This window comes from Homo sapiens, chromosome 2 (assembly GCF_000001405.40).
Source record: "Homo sapiens chromosome 2, GRCh38.p14 Primary Assembly".
Classification (NCBI taxonomy): domain Eukaryota; kingdom Metazoa; phylum Chordata; class Mammalia; order Primates; family Hominidae; genus Homo; species Homo sapiens.
Genome location: NC_000002.12, coordinates 239092531 through 239110596, shown reverse-complemented (window position 1 = coordinate 239110596; position 18066 = coordinate 239092531). Strand labels below are relative to the sequence as shown.

The 18066-nt window shown below is 58.1% G+C and overlaps 1 protein-coding gene across 46 annotated transcripts in view; it reads left to right on the top strand.

Annotated features, from left to right (window-relative positions):
- HDAC4 (histone deacetylase 4) overlaps positions 1-18066 on the top strand; it is a 353482-nt gene that overhangs the window by 291053 nt on the left and 44363 nt on the right. For 31 of the 46 annotated variants that reach the window (XM_047446489.1, XM_047446486.1, NM_001378417.1 and 28 more), the window contains 3 exons: positions 2414-2547; positions 7701-7821; positions 15541-15587. In XM_047446489.1, the coding sequence (XP_047302445.1) occupies positions 2414-2547; positions 7701-7821; positions 15541-15587 (302 nt within the window). Of the gene's footprint in view, positions 1-2413; positions 2548-7700; positions 7822-15540; positions 16667-18066 lie in introns of those variants that run through there. The other 15 variants (XM_047446483.1, XM_047446491.1, XM_047446496.1 and 12 more) reach the window with 3 other exon arrangements.

Genomic DNA, 18066 nt, shown 5'->3' with positions numbered 1-18066 from the left:
GGATGCTATTCATATTCAGAGACAAATTTCCAGAGTAGGTATCCAGCAAGTAAAATGCTGCTTCTCAGAAAGAAAACCATGGAAGGTCACAGGAGCAGCCAGATGACCCACTCCACAAGTCCTGGGCAGCTGACTGCAATAAGTGTGTTCTTGAAAGAATGCAGCTCAGACAAGGGAGACCCCAGTCACCGCCACCAAGGAGAATCCTCCCACTAAGCTGGCCCACCCTGGCTGGTCCCAGGAGACTTGCAGGGAGTCCCGCTTCGTTGGTGTCCTTTCTTAGTTTGTCTTGATTACTTTTTAAACAAATTTATAAAACAGTACATGTTCATTGTAAAGAAAAACATGATAGAAACCCACAGGAAATGCCGTTTGCCCGTAATGCCACTCCCCAGTGGTGGCAGGTTGTTAGTATTTGCTTTAAACCTTCCAGATCTATTTCTGTGCATAGCCAGATGGACAGATAGACACAAACATAATTTGTTTCACAGAGACGGGACTCTGTTGTGTCTGATGCTTTCTGTTAGTACCTCACACTCTCAGCCATCTTCCCGTGTCCGTGCACAGCGACGCAGTGCGTTCCTTTAGCCACGTGGTCTCCTGGCTGGCTCTGCCACCCTCAGCTGTGTGGGCTTTGCCGCTTCTCCATCTCTCTACGCTCCAGCTTTTCTGTCTGTAAAGGCAGTAAAGCAGGTGTCTGCCTCGTAAGTTCCAGCCGTGTGCTTAGTAAATATTAGCGCACGTGACCTTATCATGATGATTCCACTGTAGGGGCAGTCCCCATTCCTTGTATCCGTGAGCAACTGGTTGTTTCTGCACACACACTTACGTATTTCACGGGGCAGTGTCCGTCATTGCCTATGTGTCTGTGTTGCCATTACAAACTCCCAAGCACAGCCATGCCCACACACAGTGTACTGATTGTGAGTCCTAGTTTCATTGACTCCTGTAAGCCTGCACCTACCCTGATGCTTTTTTTTTTTTTTTACCAGAAGTCCCATCCCACAGCACTGTTGTGCAAGTACCTCCAGAATTCCTCAAGTGCAGGAGACTGACTCCTGTTAGCCTGACTCACAAGAGGCTGAGCCAGGAAGTATGGGAACTAATATGCACCAAGTGTATCCTGTAGCTGGACCCTGCAAACACTGGACCACCTTGAATCTCAGCTCCCCTTGGCTGGGGATGCTGCCTGTGTTCCCAGTAATAGGAACACAAGTGGGGAGGGCCGCATCCTGGGCCAGCACACTGAAGCAATAGAGCAGGTCTGTCTGGGCAGCTTGCCCAGGCTCTTCACCGTGCGCCCCGCCCTTATCAGCCTGGATGAACCCACATTAGCACAGGTGCCCCTGGCCAGTGACCTGCCTGCGGAAGGCGTCTGTTCACCCAGCCTGGCCTTCCCTTTGTTAAGTCCTGGAAGACCAGGTGTGTGCAGCACAGACATGTCCCGGCAGGGCCTCGGGGCAGCCCTCCTGCCAGGTGTCACCAGGGGCCAAGGCCTGGTGAGAAGGGGCCGGGGCAGAGCTGTGCCCCGGAGGGCCACCTGGCCTTCCCTCGCATCTCTAGCCTCTGCAGACAGGTCAGATACTCTCCCCTTCACAGCGGTCCCACGTATGCTGACTGAGACAGGGTGGCATCCAACACGGGTTCAGGCACATTGCCTTTCCTGCTGCAGAGCCCCAGGCTGCCGGCCCAGTTGGTTCTGGGGCCCCCACCAGGAGCCTCTTCTGTGGCTGCCGCACCCTGGGGGCCCGTCCATGCTGAGCTCAGTGCTGTGGTGAGCACATGGCTGGCCTCTTTTCACAGTCAGAGGTTAAGTAGACCTGTGTACATGGGTTTTGCGTGTGTTTTCTAGCATATGTGTTCCAGTCCCTCTGGAAGTTTCTAAAGGCAGAGCTCGAATCTGGTGTTTCTTTGGAATCTCAAGTACCTTGGACAGTTCTCCGTCCAGCAGAACTGGAGTTACTATTGGTCCAGGACCAGGCAGACTTTGAGGGTAGGGGGCTAGAGTCGCCTCCTTCTAGAAGTCAGCACCGTCCTCCCCAGCACAAGTCCCACATAGAGCTCACCCCTGCAAGGTCCAGCCACCCAGGGCAGACCTCCTCATCACTGTTTTCTCCTCAGCCTGCTGCAGCAGGGCAGCTGCGCACGTCCCTGCCTGGGTCCTGGGGCGTTACTGTGAGCATGAGTGACAGGCAGGCCCTCCCACCCGCCTGGCCTCTGCATTCGTCCACGTTCTCTGGGCCTGGCCAGTCAAGGAGTCTTGGCAAACGTGGTATTTTTCTAAAGAACCGTCCCAGCTTCCGTCTCCTTCTAGGGAAGTGGTGGTTCCGCCACCACCCGGGGGCAGCCTGCCAGTGGGTGGTCGGCTCGCCCCTGGATGTGCGCTGATCTTGGCCCCTCTGCCCCGCCCCAGGCCTCGTGTATGACACGCTGATGCTGAAGCACCAGTGCACCTGCGGGAGTAGCAGCAGCCACCCCGAGCACGCCGGGAGGATCCAGAGCATCTGGTCCCGCCTGCAGGAGACGGGCCTCCGGGGCAAATGCGAGGTAACGCCGACCGGGGCAGGTGGGCAGCTGCGGCTTTGGGCACCATTAGAGGGGACCCTCGTGGGCCCGCGTGATTCAGGGTGTTGGTTTTGCAGGTGGTTCTTTGGGCTTACAGCCCCGGGGGAAGGGCCACAAGCATCTTCACTGTCTGCATTTGGGCGGGCAGCTATCTGCTGAGAAGCCCGGGGCTGTCTCCCTGGAGTCCCGTACCCTCCCTGCAGGAAGCTGCTGCCTCTGTCTGTGACCTTTCCTGATGTTTCGCTCCCACCTCCCACCTAGCAGGCTCTTCTCAAGGTCCAGGGCTGTTGCTTTCTGCCTCCGGGTCACTTCCCCAAGGAAACCAGTTCCCACCATGCTCCCCCAGGGCTGCCAGGAAGGAGCCACGGGGAGATCCGATTATATCTCAGATCAGGCCTGTTGGCTTTTTGTTAAAATAATTTTCTCTTTTTTTAAGATTTTGAAAAGCTTCTTCGAGAACACAGGGAGACCTCAGGCCCTTGGGGCCCTCCTCAGAGTTAAGGTGCTGGCGAGGCAGTGGGTCGTGAAGGGAATGGAGCTGCAGGCAGGGCCCTGGCCTGGTTTGAATTCAGCTCCCTTATGTGGCTGAGTCACACGAGGAGGCTTCGGGGATGCTGCAGCTCTGGCTGTGCCTCAGTTTCCCTGGCCGCCAGGCGATGGCAGCGGCCTCACTTGTTCTCATACAAGGAGGGCCCGGCCCCGCCTCCTGATAGGAACCAGAGCCCTGCCCCGAATCTGGCTGCAGTGGACTCCCAGGCCCAAGGAGGCAAGAAGGATCAGCCGATTAACACCTGAGGGCAGGACGGGGGCCGCACTTTGGTGAGGCTGTCCCAGCTGGTGCTCTTCACCCTGGAGGCAGCTGTCACAGGGGATCTTGAGCTCTTGACAGGGAGGAGGGTGTGGCCAGGCCCTGCTGATAGCGAGGGCAGGAAGAGAAGAGACTCCCGTCTGGGAGCTGGTGACCTTGGACAAATTTCCATTTCTTTGTCTGTAGAGAGGGGCTGGCAACACTGTGCAGGGTCGCACAAGGCCCCACCCATGCCAGGGCCCACCAGTAGAGACCTGCTATGTCCACTCCCCACACCAGGAATCCCACCATCCTACAGATAGCGCACAGGGTGGACAGGAACATCCACACCCACCCCTCCAACAGTCCTGGACACCCGACAGCCCAGGGCCCAAGTGGCTGTGGCAGAGATGAGTGAGCACGTGGAGCTGGCGTGGCACGGAGGGCCTCTGGTCTCCTGGCTTAGTTTCTGCAGGGTCCCGCCCTGCAGGTTCGCCTGCCCTCCTTTAGAAGCTGGGATATTTGTGAACTTTTAATCTGTGCCTCATCTTACCCCCCGTTTCCTTTACCAGTTTTATTGGTGATACATAATTTTCAGGGGGGAATTCTCTAAAAGTCAGGCCCAGGACCCTCTCCTGCAGTGCCCTCTGGGAGGAGGGAGGAGGAAGGCGGGGAGGAGCCACTGTAGAGGCTCTTGGCACCTGCTTCAGGGATCTGGTCAGGACGGCTGTGCCACTGGAGGGCAGCATTGCCCAGCAGACACTGGCTGCAGGAAACTCCTTCCCCACGTCCCTTCCCTCCACAGGACCAGACAGCTGTCCTGCTGCCCCTTCTGGGGACTGCCCAAGGCCTCCTGAGGCTTCCAGAGCTCCATAACCTGCTTCCTTGTCCCTCCCCTACATGTGCCCCCACCCCCAGGAGGTTCCGCTGAGGCCAGGGGATTGGGAGAGGGTCTCTCAGCCAGAAAAGCAAAGCAAATGCAAGCAAGGGAGGGAGGAGTGAGAAAGCAAAGACCCTGGAAGAAACAGCCCGCTCCTCCGCCCGCCCTCAGCTCCTCCGCCCGCCCTCGGCTCCTCTGCCTGTCCTCAGCACCATGGGTGAAGGTGCCAGCCACGACTGGGCCAGGGGCTGGCAGAGGGTCCCCAGGTGTTGGGGCTGTGGGACAAGACCTGAGCCTGGCAGGATCTCAGGGAGAGGAGAGCTGGAGAAAGACAGGTGGCTGGGAGACAGCCACAGAGGCGGTGGAGGCCATACTCCCTGGACAGCAGTGCCTTGCTCCCACACGTGGGGCAGCTCTCCAGTGCGGGTGCCCCTCCAGGTTCAGAGCGAGCAGTGTGCTAACTCAGCCCAGGGGGACGTGACGTCACCCACCAGACTTCCAGTGCCAGCCTGCCAGGGGTCACTGGCCTCCTGAGATGGCCGAGCAGAGGGGCCATGGGTACGGGGCATGGTTAGAGTGGGTACCCGATAGGAGAAGATGGGGTGGATGGGGCTGTGACTTCCCCAGTCCGCGGACCACTTGGAGGCCACAGCAAGACCGAAGCCCAGGCCCGAGGGCAGGGCCTCAGAGTCAGCACCCCTTCTCTGGGTAGACGACTGCCTGGAGGCCTGGGGGGTGAGGCCCTCCCCTCACACTGCTGAGTTGGCTTCGCGTGGTGAGGAAGGATGAGAGTGGGCTGGGAGATACTTTCTGCAAGCTTGGGACCCTGTCGATACTGGCAGGCCGGCCCAGCAAGACGTGGCTCCCAGTGCAGCTGTCTCGCTCCCTGCCTCACTCCAGAGCAGGCCTTGGGAAGCTGCCTCACACGTTCTGAGCAGTCGGGGGTCCTCTGAGTATAGCCATGTGTGTGTGCGGGCCCCGCCCTCCTGCAGAGGCTTCCCGGGAGCCAGAACAGCTCCTGGCCAATTTGCTTGCCCAGCTTGGTTTGTCCTGCCTCCAGGCACGGTGTCCAGGAAGGAGAGGAGAAGTGGGTGGGCTGGAAGTCAGATGCCACAGAGACCAGGGCCACCACTGGGATTTGCACCCTGCCCCAAGCCTGTGTTTGCTGTAAGGAGCAAAGACTCCTTCTGTCTTATCCTAGGAATTAAAGGGAGACAGAAATAACGAGGTCAGCCTCCCAAGAAAGCAGGAAGGGGCCACCATCACCACCGCTCCCAGAGTGGCTCTGGAAAAGCCTCTCAGGTGCTCAGTCTGAGCCGTCACAATATTGCACGCTACAGCCTGAGCCATCGCGGTGTCCCGCACGCACAGCCCGAGCCCTTGCGGTGTCGCGCACCTGCAGCCCCAGCCGTCGCGGTGTCGCAGAGCTTTTGGGGCTTTGATCCTGTGTCTTTTCTGTGTCCATTTCATGTGTTTGTAAGGAGAGGGTTTTTCTACTTTTCTTCTTTGCCTTATTCTAACATCAACTTTAATTTGTGAATTTCATTTGTGGTCTAACGTCAGATCTCTCTTTCTGCAATTCAGTCTCTTATCCAGTGGGTCGCTTTTGAGTGGGGAGGACACACATGGCTACCCTGCCGTTCTTTCACCCAAAGTCCACACTACATGACCTGCCTCTTGGCACCGCAGGGCACAGCCTGTGGTCCCCTACGGGGACCTTCCCAAGCGTGGGCTGCCTAGGCCCGTCTGTCCAGAGGGAACTTGGCCCTGGCCACAGCTGCCTGTGCCTGTACACACATGTGGGCTTCCTGAAGTCATTAGAAATGAGAAGCCCTGGCCAGGTGCGGTGGCTCACTCCTGTAATACCAGCACTTTGGGAGGCCGTGGCGGGTGGATCACATGAGGTCAGGAGTTCAAGACCAGCCTGGAACAACATGGCAAAACTCCATGTCTGATAAAAATACAAAAATTAGCCAGGTGTGATGGTGGGCACCTATAATCCCAGCTACTCAGGAGGCTGAGGCAGGAGAATCACTTGAACCCGGGAGATGGAGGTTACAGTGAGCCAAGATTGCGCCATTGCACTCCAGCCTGGGCAACGAGCGAAACTCCGTTTCAAAAAAAATAAAATAAAATAAATTAGAAGCCCCCGCAGCCGCCCAGGGCCCCAACTGCACCCTGACCCCTACCCAGAGAGTACGTCCCTCCTGCCTGGCTTTCCAGGGACATGTGACTTATGTCCCCAAAGTAGAAGCAGCACTAGGTTATGTGGATGGGACCATAGAGTCGTTTTTTACCACCGGAAGCCGTGTCACATCTTTTCTTTGTTAAACAAGAGACCTTCATAGAGGAAGCCCGGTTTTGTGGAATTGTTGTTCATGAGAAGAGAACCCGCAGAGCATCCGTCCCTGCCCAGCGCACCTGCCCTCTGGAGGTCTCTCCCCTGTGGGCGGGGACTGAGTTCTTGGCTCCGCCCCTTCTTCCTCCACCCTGCATGGACAGGACCCCCAGGTGCAATGCGTCCTGCAGGAAGGCTGTGTGCTACGGCTCCTGGTGGTCTGAGAGGAGCCCCAGGTGCTGGGCTGGCATAGAGAGCCCTCGAGCTTCGCCCACCACAGGTCTCACATACAGGGTGGACACCGAGGCCTGCAGGAGCTCAGCGGATGCTGGGGCAGGGCTGCAGTCGGGAGGGAGAGAGCAGATCCTGCTCAGGCCTGGGGGAAGCAGGTAACAGCCACAACCGGGGCCACCTGAGTGGCGTCTGACTCATCCTGTGGTGGCCTAACCCTCTGAGAGCCATTTCCATGTGAAATGTTAACTCGAATCTCATGTCCAAAGCCATCGTCCCCTTTAAAAGGCTAAATAAATGTAGCTCAACTAAAGAACACTAATTTTCCTGTGAATTTCTGGAGAAAATCTGAATTAGCCCAGGGATCTCAATCTGAAGAATTTCCAAACCTCAGAGAGACGCAGCCGGATGCCAGCTAGCCATCCAGGACAGATGCCAGACCCTGGCAGCTGTGGCCCCGGGCGGTCCAAGGAAGGCTGCTTCATCCTGGGGCTCAGAGACTCCGGGAGCGCGGCTGGGGTTTCCCTTGAACGTGAGGGAGCTCAGCAGCTCACCTCTATTTTAAGACCAGACCCTGGCAGCTGGAAAGCAAAGTAATAATTTGATGCCAAGTCATTCGTGCGACAGTGAAGGGTAATGCATTGAAGGCTGGAATTATCTTTTAAAGTGTTTTTTCAAAGCTATAATTAAGTGTAAGCCCTCTAAAATATTTCTTAAATATTTTAAAATATCACGTTGGGTGATGTTGCTTCTTCTTTTGCAGTAACCAAATAACATGCTTGTTTTTGTATCAAATTAAGTTTCCTTTTGGGCAATGGTTTCAGTTGGAGTTTCTGTCTGTGGAGCTGAAGCAGCAGCTTCTGCAGAACGTGTGAGTGTCCTCTCGCCTGTCCCCACAGTGCATCCGCGGACGCAAGGCCACCCTGGAGGAGCTACAGACGGTGCACTCGGAAGCCCACACCCTCCTGTATGGCACGAACCCCCTCAACCGGCAGAAACTGGACAGTAAGAAACTTCTAGGTATTTCAGGACCTTCCTTTCCTCCCATATTGGGTTTGAAGTCCCCTGAGGTTGTGTTTCCAGCTCTCAACCCCTTGTGTCTGGGGCACCTGTGGGTGTCGCCTGCCAGGTTATAAGGTAAAGGGCCTGAAAGGGAACCTTTCACCCTCTGTTCACAAGCCACTGGTTGTTGATGAACGTGCCAGGTAGCAGGTGTGTTTGTGTAAAAACTGGGCTGAGAACCGTTGGTTTAGAAGCATCTTGAATCAGAGTTTAGGTTTGAGAGGCTGATTAGGAACACAGCCAGCATGCTGCCCGCCCTGCCCTGCAGGGAGCCTGAAGTTGTTTTGAGCTCCGCTTTAAGGCCCATCAGAGCAAGACCAGGAGGAGGCCTAGGGAGTGTCCACTGCTTAGGGGTGAAAGGCTGCTGGTGTCTTGGCTCTGGCTGAAAGCACCTGCACAGGTGGTGGAGGGGAATTTTAGCCTCATGGAGAGAACTTTCTAATGGGCATCCTCTGCCCGGGGAGCTGGTGAGAGGCTTTCCACAGGGATCTTCAGCAGAGGCAGGTGAACTCCCAGCCAGCTCCATGGGGCTTCCAGTGTTCCCAGGCCACAGAACCCAGACGTGGGGCCGGGGGCTTCCAGGGCGCAGAACCCAGACCCCGGGCCGGGGGCTTCCAGGGCACAGAACGTGGACCCCGGGCCGGGGGCTTCCAGGGCACAGAACGTGGACCCGGGGCCGGGGGCTTCCAGGGCACAGAACGTGGACCCGGGGCCGGGGGCTTCCAGGGCACAGAACGTGGACCCAGGGCTGGGGGCTCCCAGGACACAGAACCCAGACCCTGGGCGGGGAGCGTCCAGGGCACAGAACACAGACCCGGGGCCGGGGGCTCCCAGGGCACAGAACCCAGACCCGGGGCCGGGGGTGTCCAGGGCACAGAACCCGGACCCGGGGCCGGGGGCTCCCAGGACACAGAACCCAGACCCAGGGTCGGGGGCTTCCAGGGCACAGAACCCAGACCGAGGGCCAGGGGATCCCAGGGCACAGAACACGGACCTGGGGATGGGGGATCCCAGGGCTCCCTTTGTTCCTCGATAACGTCTTTCCCTGCCTCCCAGCCACCCTGAACCAGGACAGTCACTGCCCACTGGTTTTCTTCCCCATCTTCTGTGCCTTTGCCCTGGGAAGAGCATATTGGCTCTTCCCTGAGCAGGACCCTAGGAAGGCAGAGAGGGAGAACTAGGAACCATGAACGCAGGGGTTGCAGGGGCAAGGAGAGGGTGGGCCGTGCCTGGCTCGTTGACTGCATTTGGCAGGGCACACGTTGCAGGAGGTGTCCTCCGTGCCAGGCCTGTGCCCGGCAGACTCAGCCTCACAGAGACCTGCACTCCTAGTCCTTCATGCGTTCACTCACTCACTCGCTCACGCCTTCATCCACTCGCCGAGGGCACCTTCTGTACTGGATGCCCTGTAGGTACAGACGGGGTCACAGACCATGGAGCCAGTAGGGCTGTGAGGACACGCATGGGCTCTGGCCTGGGGTGGCGGTCACGCTGCTTCCGGAGTCCCCCCTGCCCTGTGGTATGGAGGCTTCTAAAAGGACAGAAGCCTCAAGTTTGGGGAAAGTGAGAAGGGAGTGAACAGCAGTAGGAAGCAGGTGGGCCGGGGTGTGGCTGAGCAGGTTCACGAGGTGGATCCTGAGCTAGTGCCGGGGACAAGGGCCACCGACCCACCCCACAGACTCCGACAGCTCAGGCTCAGCAACTGCAGAGGCTATGGACTCAGGGAGGCACTCAGTCAAGGGCCTGGGCCAAAGCTGGTGGAAAGGCCTCTGGGCCCCGACTCCCTACACAGCGGCTTCGCCTGCTGCTGCTCTAGAAGGGGTACAGCACCCTTCCACCGTCCCTCTGGAAGGGACGGTGGAAGACAGGGGCTTCCTGGACTGGAGACAGCTGCTCTAGATGAGGGCATGGATGCCAAGCCCCTACCCCTCCCCACTGGGCTGCCAGCATGCTGACCTTTACCGTCCAAGCAGACAGGAGACCCCTCTGTGGATTTGACCAGCCCCAAAGAAGCTGACATCAGGGGTTCCCAACAAATAGCCCCTGAGATCCCTTATGCTGGCACTCACGGCTAATCACCCCCTGTGGGCCCAGAGCTTCCACCCAGCCGTTGGCACTTCCCCCTTAGGAGCGGACAACCAAGGAGGACCCAGGGCCCGAGGAACGGCTGGACAGGGACCTGGAGCTGGAGCCACACAGGGGAAGGAGGCTGGGGGCAGACAGTGTGAGGCACTAACCCAGCTGCCATTAGCACCCTCAGAGAGGATGCCACATCCACGTAACGTGGACAAGTTCAGTGGAAAAGGGGAAAGCACAGAACGTTCAGAGAAGACAAAAATTAAACACCTGACCGCAGAAAAAGAAAATCCTCCTCAGACTGGAAGATACGGTGATGTCATCTCCCAGAAACTGGAGCAAAACGTGACAGCTCTGGGAAACTGGGAAGTGAGATGATGGAGAAGAAGGCCAAAGCTCACTGCAGTGTGCAGGGTCCAAACAGCAGGAGTTCCCAGGGAAGGCAGAGGCCAGGAGGAGGTGTCTGGAATTCAGAAGGCCCCAGGCCAAAGGCAGAGTCTCTGGGCTGCAGGGACCCACCAGGGGTAAGAAAGACCCTCTTAGGGAGAAACAGCAGAGCCTCAGAATGCAGGGACAGGTGAGAGCCAGGGCACCTGCAGACTCCATGGGGCCTGCGGCCATGCCAGTTTTAAGGGCGCCTCATTGCCCTCCTGAAGTTTGTGTCCCGCCAAACTGCCGGGTGAGTAGGAAGGTGGCACAGAGGCATTCCAGGCATGCAAGGGCCAGAGCTTTCACCCTCCAGCTGTTCTTCCTCAGGAAGCCACCGGAGGACACGCTGTCCCAGGGCAAAAGAACATTGGGAGGCCCATCATGGAGGCCGGCCTCTACTGGGTGGTCTGTGAGAGGGTGGCGGCCAGGAAGTCTGAGATCGCCCTGCAGGGAGAAGCTGATGCAGCTACCCCTAGGAAGGGGGCACGCGCTCCTTGGGGAGAAGATGGCGCATGGATTGTGGAGTACCTAGCGGAGGCGGGGAGCACCGCTGGGGCTGGGGAAGGGAGCCCTAGAGGGCAAGGGCGGCAGAGAGGGCAGGCGGCTTTCTGTCCGGGAGCTGGGTGGACAAAGGCCATGCATCGAGGCACTGAGGCTAGAGTGTGCTGTCCCTCAGGATTCTCCAGTCCTTACCAGGAAACGTCACTGCCTCCCCATGTAACACCTCAGCTTCTGGCCGGGTTCTCCAGCATGGGAGGGGCTGCCTGTGGGCCCCATGAGGGGACAAGATCTTTGCCTCGATGTCACCGGGGCTGCCACAGCAGGGGCTTCAGCAGGCGTGGGAGTTGCTGAGCAGCCTCAAAGCATCAGCTCATCAGGCCGTGTCCTGCACACACGCAGTTCTGTGCGCCCACCTCCACGCCTTTCAGAATGGCGGCTGCTCCTGACACCTTCATCCATTTTCAAAGGACCGGCTGTTGGTCCATCCCCTACCACCTTCAGTCTTTCAAACCTGTGGAATTCAGTGGGCGGAGGATGGAGGCAGGACCAGCTCCACCAGCAGAAGGATGAAGGCAGGCTTAGCTCCACCACCTTGCTTAGGTTTCTAAGCTAGTTTCAAACAAAGTTTAAGAGAGATGATCAAAAAGGAAGACCCCTTTCTTGTTTTTGGTTTCTTTATTGAAGTGTCTCTGCAGCATCCCTTTGCACCATTCCTGTTCTCCGAAGGCAACCATTCTAGTCAGTTTCTTTTGTTTACAGGAAGGTTGATCATTCTATTTCTTGTTCTTTCCTGGAAAGCTTTGTGCTTTAAAATCTGTTCACATTCCTGTGAGGATGCCTCTCCCATTACCTTCTCACAACTCAAGATCGATTTTTGAATTTCCGACAATTGTCCTAACCCAGAAACTTCATTATCATCAGTCTAAGTATTTCAGACATGGTAATAGCTGATGATTATCTTGAGTTTTGTGAACATAACCCTAATGAGGTGTTTAAACACTACTGTGTGATTTTTTTTCTTTCCTCTTTTAATGGAATCCACAAGCCGCTAAGCCGTGTGCAAGGGCCTTCATATTTCCTTTCTGATGTGGTGAGATGCCACACATAAGGCGTGGCTGAATTGGCTCGTGGGCCTGAGGCAGGCTGGCCGCTGCCCTAGGCGTCACTGAAAGTCACGTGGCTCATCTGCTCATGTCAGCTGGCAGGGTGCTGCATCCGGGCAGAGCTGGGCCCCTGGCGAGTGGGTGCCGGTGATGCTCAGGGTAGGGTGCGGCAGGAAAATGACTTGGCACAGCGAGGGCCTCCTCCCAGCCAGGGAGCAGGAGCAGCAGCGAGAGGATGGCTGGAGCCGAGCCTTCCCTGCCCCAGGCACAGAACGCCTGTCTGCCAGCCCGCGGCAAACAGACAAGTAGTAAGGCTGGTCGTTTGCAGAGCTTCAGGCCCTGTCACCAGGCTGGAACGTTTCGTGGCCTGGGCTTGGTGATTGTGGCTCCAAACCACAGGAGGCCGCTGGGCTCCTCACAACTGTCACCAAAACTCTGCCTATAACTCCATTCCTATACGCATGCATTTGGATGCATAATCGTGTACTTTTTCTTTGTTGTTTTGGTCTTTGCTAGATAATGAGCAAACTCAAAACAGTCGGATGACTTGTGGTTTTAATGTAGACATGGTTGGCTATGATTTCAAAGAGATTCAGTCTCTTGCAGATACCTGGACACGTGTGTCTACTGTGAATTCATATAGCTGAGCGCGTGCATTATTTGGAAAACGAGCTCCCTAGTTTCTGGCAGTGTCTTTCCCGTGCGTTGGAGTAGTCAGTGATGGAAGGACGTGGCCCACGGAGCCACTCCCAGCCCCAGCTACTCAGCCACTCACCAAGGCCATGACCGCCCTTCCAAGGCAGCACCCGCCCACTGTGGTGAGGTTGGCATTAGGTGACCCCACTACAGACGACGGGCAGCAAGCAGGACAGCAGGTGGCTTGGCACCTTGGCACCCACGCCCTCCTCCTTTTTCAGTCTCGTTCCACCTGCGCACTAGCTCTCTTGCCCACCACATCCCGCCAGCTCCTGCCCAGCCCCAGCACCTCCCAAAGGGGTCCGGCGTGCAGGCCGCTTCCCCGCATGGTCAGCCCCACGTCCACTACTTGCTGTCACCAAGGCACAGAGGAGAGCAGGGCCAACATGCCTGCGGGGATGAGGGCTGACCACCATGAGGTTCAGGCGAGAAGTGTTAGCTGATGTTGTCCCATGTGCCACGCTGACATGTGGACACGGGAACCAGGGTCAGGAGCCACGACTCCAGGCAGTGGCGGGTCCGTGAGCCATGGACACGGAGGAAGTAGGCCCAGGACAGCGCCCAGGAAGGGGAGGCATGCTGGTGCTGCTGCCCTCAGTGGGCGTGAGGGCCAGGACCCAGAGGCCGAGGCATGCCTGCTGAGCGCTGCAGGGAGAGCCAGGGCCGACTGAAGCCCCTGCTGGCTCAATGCCTTGTACAGCCCAGGCAGGGAGGAGGGACAAGGCGGGCACAGACCCTGCCCTTGGAGCCAGGCCAGGTGGAGAGGAGCGCGGGCTCCCTCCGACACAGGCTGGCTCCTCCGAGCACGTAGGCCTTTGTCTGGAAAACGTCACAGCATCTGCATGGCGCCTGCGCCCCTCAGCTGGCCGGGCCCTCCTAGCAGATGGGGGCCGGGCCTATCCTCCCTTTGCCTGGGGGGCCTGGGAGCCCCTGAGCCCCTTCTGAAAGTGGCTGCAGCTGCTGCCCCCTGCCTCCTGCCTCCTGCCCTGCTCCCTGTTGGCATGGCAGCTCCCCAGCCCCGGGCCGTGGACGTGGCCATTCTACAAGCCTCCGGCCTTGATGCAGATCTGTGACCTCCACAGAGTGAGAAGAGCCTGAGTCAGCTCTGTGCATCGGGCCTCACACTAGGGCCTGGCTGTGGCTGTCTGTGGGACATGTGGGTGTCTGTGGGGGGTGCTGGTGTCCGTGTGGATGTCCGTGGGGGGTGCTGGTGTCCGTGGGGTGGGGTGGGTGTCTGTGGGGGGTGCTGGCGTCCATGGGGGGGGTGGGCATCAGTGGGGGATGCTGGCATCCATGGGAGGTGCTGGCATCCGTGGGGGGTGCAGGTGTTCGTGGGGGGTGCAGGTGTTCGTGGGGGGTGTAGGCGTCTGTGGGGGGCGTGGGCATCCGTGGGGGGTACTGGCGTCCATGGGGGGTGTGGGTGTCCATGGGGGCGGGGCGGGGGGCGGGCATCCATGGGGAGGGTGCAGTCATCCGTGGTGGGGTGATGGGGGTGCAGTCGTCCGTGGTGGGGTGATGGTGCAGGCGTCTGTGGGGAGGTTGCAGGTGTCGGGGGGGGTTGCAGGCATCTGTCGGTGGGGTGTGGGCGTCCGTAGGGGGTGCGGGCATCCGTGGGCTAAGGCAAGCAGGCCTCTGTTTAGCTTCTCGTCTGTGCCAGCCACTCTCCTGCAGCTTGGGGCCATCGCAGTTGCTCTTCCCAGCCAGGCACGCTGTTCCCTGAGGAAGGGTTCCTCTCGTGCTAACCGGGCCGGCAAGCCCTCCAGGCAAGAGGCAGACAGGCCCTAATGGACCTATGGCCAACTCCTTCCTATGGCCCCCGGCAGCCAGCCCTAGGAGCGTGGACCAGAGCACACAGAGTGGAGGCTACTGTTCTGGAGCAGGCTGAGAATGGGAGAGGAGCCCCACAGCGGGGGGTACAGCCCAGCTGAGGCCAGAAAGTGGGGTCCCACGTTGGATAAAGGAGCCTGTTACATCAAGCCAGTCTCCCTGGAGCATGTGAGATGTCACTCCAGCTCCAGCCCAGGAAGGGGCCGGGGGCTGCGGAGAGTGAGGGATTGGGGCCCAGGCAGCCGCTAGGAATGGTAGGTCCCGCCCCTGGTTAGTGGGGGTCTCTTGTCCTCCACAGATGGGTTTTAAGCTGGTGACGTGCATTCAGCCAGCACTGGGTCAAACAGGAAAAAGACAGCACCCCTGTCCTGGGAGCACTTTCACTGCCGGAGCAGGCGCGGGTGCCAGAGCAGTGGGGTGGGGGTTTCGAGGGCCCCGATTTCCATGGGAGGAGGCCTGGCGTGCAGCTGCAGCGTCCTTGGAGCCCTCAGTCAGCTGTACACGCTCCGCCTGTGTCGCAGGGAGGGGCTGTCGCTGCATACATTCCCGAGGATCTCAGGGTCTAAGAGGCCTCAGGACCCATGTTTAATCCCGGGACTTGCCCCTTGTTTGCCATGGGAGGGGGCTGCTAGACAAGCCCTAGGAGCTCACTGAGGAGCCAGGCTCGGGGTCCTGGAGCAGGATTTGCTGTTAGATACAGCCCCTCAGGGGCACGGGCTGCAGGCAGACGCCCACCAGGGGTACCTCGTGCTCCCCAGTGGCTTGGTGCCTCTCCTGGGCCCCTGACAGGCTGATGCCACAACAATTTGAGGTGTCCCCACCAGGGTCTGTGACCCAGCTCAGCCCTCACAGGAGTCAAGGCACCTCTAAGGGCCAGACACTGACCCTGCAGCAGGGCCACAGGGTGTCACAAGGGGGAGCAGTGGCCCCTCGTTGTCCCACAAATGCCCAAGTGCCACTGAAGACCCCGGAGTGCGCCCAGGGCCTGTCGAGCACCTTGGCCGCGTGCCCTTGGCCTCTCTGACCGTCTCCCTCCCCCCCACAGGCTCGCTCGCCTCCGTGTTCGTCCGGCTCCCTTGCGGTGGTGTTGGGGTAAGTGTTCCTTTAATGTGTAAATAATGTCCTGTTTCTTCTCGAGTCCCAGTGGTCACAGAAATCGCAGCCTTGCTTCCCTCAAAGTGAATAATTGCTGCCAGGTGTTTTCCATACGCAGGGGCTGCCCATGTGCGGCTTCAAAGGCCGTGTGAGCCGAGAGCGTTTTGATCGCCGACTCGGGCACCTTTCTCTGGGGAAGGTTGTCTGGCGCAGGTGGCTGGGGCTCTGGGGTGCAGTGGCTCTCGCTTTAAGAAACAGGATCCTGTATGCAGCCAGCATCTCATCCCCTTCGAAGTCTGTGGCAGTAATCTGCTCACATCAGGCCACGAGTATGGTGCGGGTAGGATGCGTGCTTCTGTATTCTGTACCTAGTTTCCACCCGAAGCTACAGGTGGGGCTCCCAGTGCAGTGACCGTGATACTCATGGGCCACGTGGAGTCTGTAGGGCTACTCGCTGGGCTGTGCTGGCTTCTGTGAGCTGATGATATGGACCTGGCCTGGGCATATGAATCACTGGTCTGTGCCAGCTTCTACGAACTGATGATATGGACCTGGCCTGGGCATATGAATCACTGGGCTGTGCTGGCTTCTACGAGCTGATGATATGGACCTGGCCTGGGCGCATAAGTTCACAAGGACTTTCCAGTCTGGGCATCTGCCCATCCGTCCACACAGGAAGGGTCAGGTCTTGCAATCAAACTTCTCAATAACAAAAGAGTTCTCCCCTGGCCCCTGACCTCCTTGATGCAGCCTGGGCAGGGGTGGCAATAGCGAGGGCGGCCATGAGAAGCTGAGGCGGAGCGTCCGAGCAGATCCGGGCCATCATGGTCCTGCAGTGCCGCGAATCACCACAGACGGTTACAGGCAGGGAGGACGGGAGCCGGTGGACAGCAGGAGCCGCTGCAGCCGAAACGGTGCAGTGTGTGTGTAATCACTGATCGCAGGGTGAAGCTCAAGGTCTGGATTCTGTTATGGAAATGAAACAAAATTGTTTTCTTCCTGAGTTTTTATAAAAATCACTGCTTTGAAAATTATCCCGTCAGAAAGAGAATAAACGGCATTTATTCATACCACCACCAAGCCCTCCTAGAGTTATTTTATTTTGTATTGTAAATAGGCTGCAATCTCTTAATTTGGGGCATGTTTTTGGCCAGACTTGAAAAGGATTGAATTTGCACTGCCCTGCAGCCAGCACGCCTGTGCAAGGCAGAATTTATCATTTGCAAATGAAAGCTAAGTGCAGACTCAGAGCTGAGGGGGTGAGCCCAGCAGCCCCTCCCAAGTGTTAAATCCAGATCTGAGGCACAGCAGATGAGAGCTGCACCCTCACGTCTGGGTGTGCAGATGCTGATGGAAAAGCTCCCCACGTGGACGCGGGCAGAGAGGGTAGCCTGTTGGCATGGGCAGGGAACAGTGCAGGCCGTGGGGCTTCCTGAGGTACAGCCACCGGCAGGATGTGTTTTCTTCCCATTGTTTTCCAAAAGGAAGAAGACAGACAGGAGGCCGGTGCAGACCCCTGCCCTGGTGTGGGATGCACCTGCTGTCGCTGGCACAGATGCAGCTCTCCTGAGCCTCATGTCTCCTCCAGAGCCAGGAGGGGCCAGCCTCCTGGGGTGTCAGGAGGAGCAAAGTAGACCTCGGGAGCCGAAGTGTGGGCACACAGCAGGTGCTCTTGTCAGGGAGGGCAGAGCAGGTGAGCAGAGCCAGCCACCTTCCCCGAAAGCAGCTGCAAACTCTCCCGGAGGCAGAACAGTGGGGCTTGGAACACGGAAAACTCACCACTCCTCGGCGCTGGGAAATGGGAGCTGTAAAGTGCTTTGACCTCTTTTTCAAACCAGATCAGCTCCTGCGTTGCTCCTCTCCAGTGACCGCAAGTTTCAACTGGGTGAGGAGCTGGTGTCCCTGCTCGGCCTCGCCCAGCGGAGTCCTGGCCTGCTCTCGTACGCCCGGCTCCCCGCGGCTCCTCTGAGCTTCCCAAAGGCCTCCCAGCCCTGCCAGCCCTCGGCATGTCCCTTTTAGACTCCATGGGATTATCCGTGGGAAGCTTTCTCCATGTTTCCCCCCGCCTTTTTCCTGTCTTTATTGCGAAAGAGAGAGAAAAGGAGAGGAGAGAAGCGAGAGAGAGAGAAAGAAAGGAAAAGAAAACAAAAAAAAAAAGAAACGAAACACAGAGTGAGCCATTTGCTCCTTCCTGCATTAGCAGTTGCGGCCGCCTGCCCTGAGCCAGGCTATTGCTCAGTGGTGGCGCTGCACGCCTGAGCCAGGCTCCCTGCAAGAGGCCTGGAGCTCCAGGCTGGTCCCTGGGAGCTGGAGCCGTGGTCCTGAAGCAGGCGAAGGAGGGTCTCTTGAGTTCTCTGGGGACTGGGGTCCTGCAGTTTGGCTGGGGCTTTGTCCTTCACTCTGTGCAAGACTCCAGAAGCTTCTGAACCCCAGGGTCCCATGGGAGGGGGCACAGACACAGGCACCTGGTAGACCG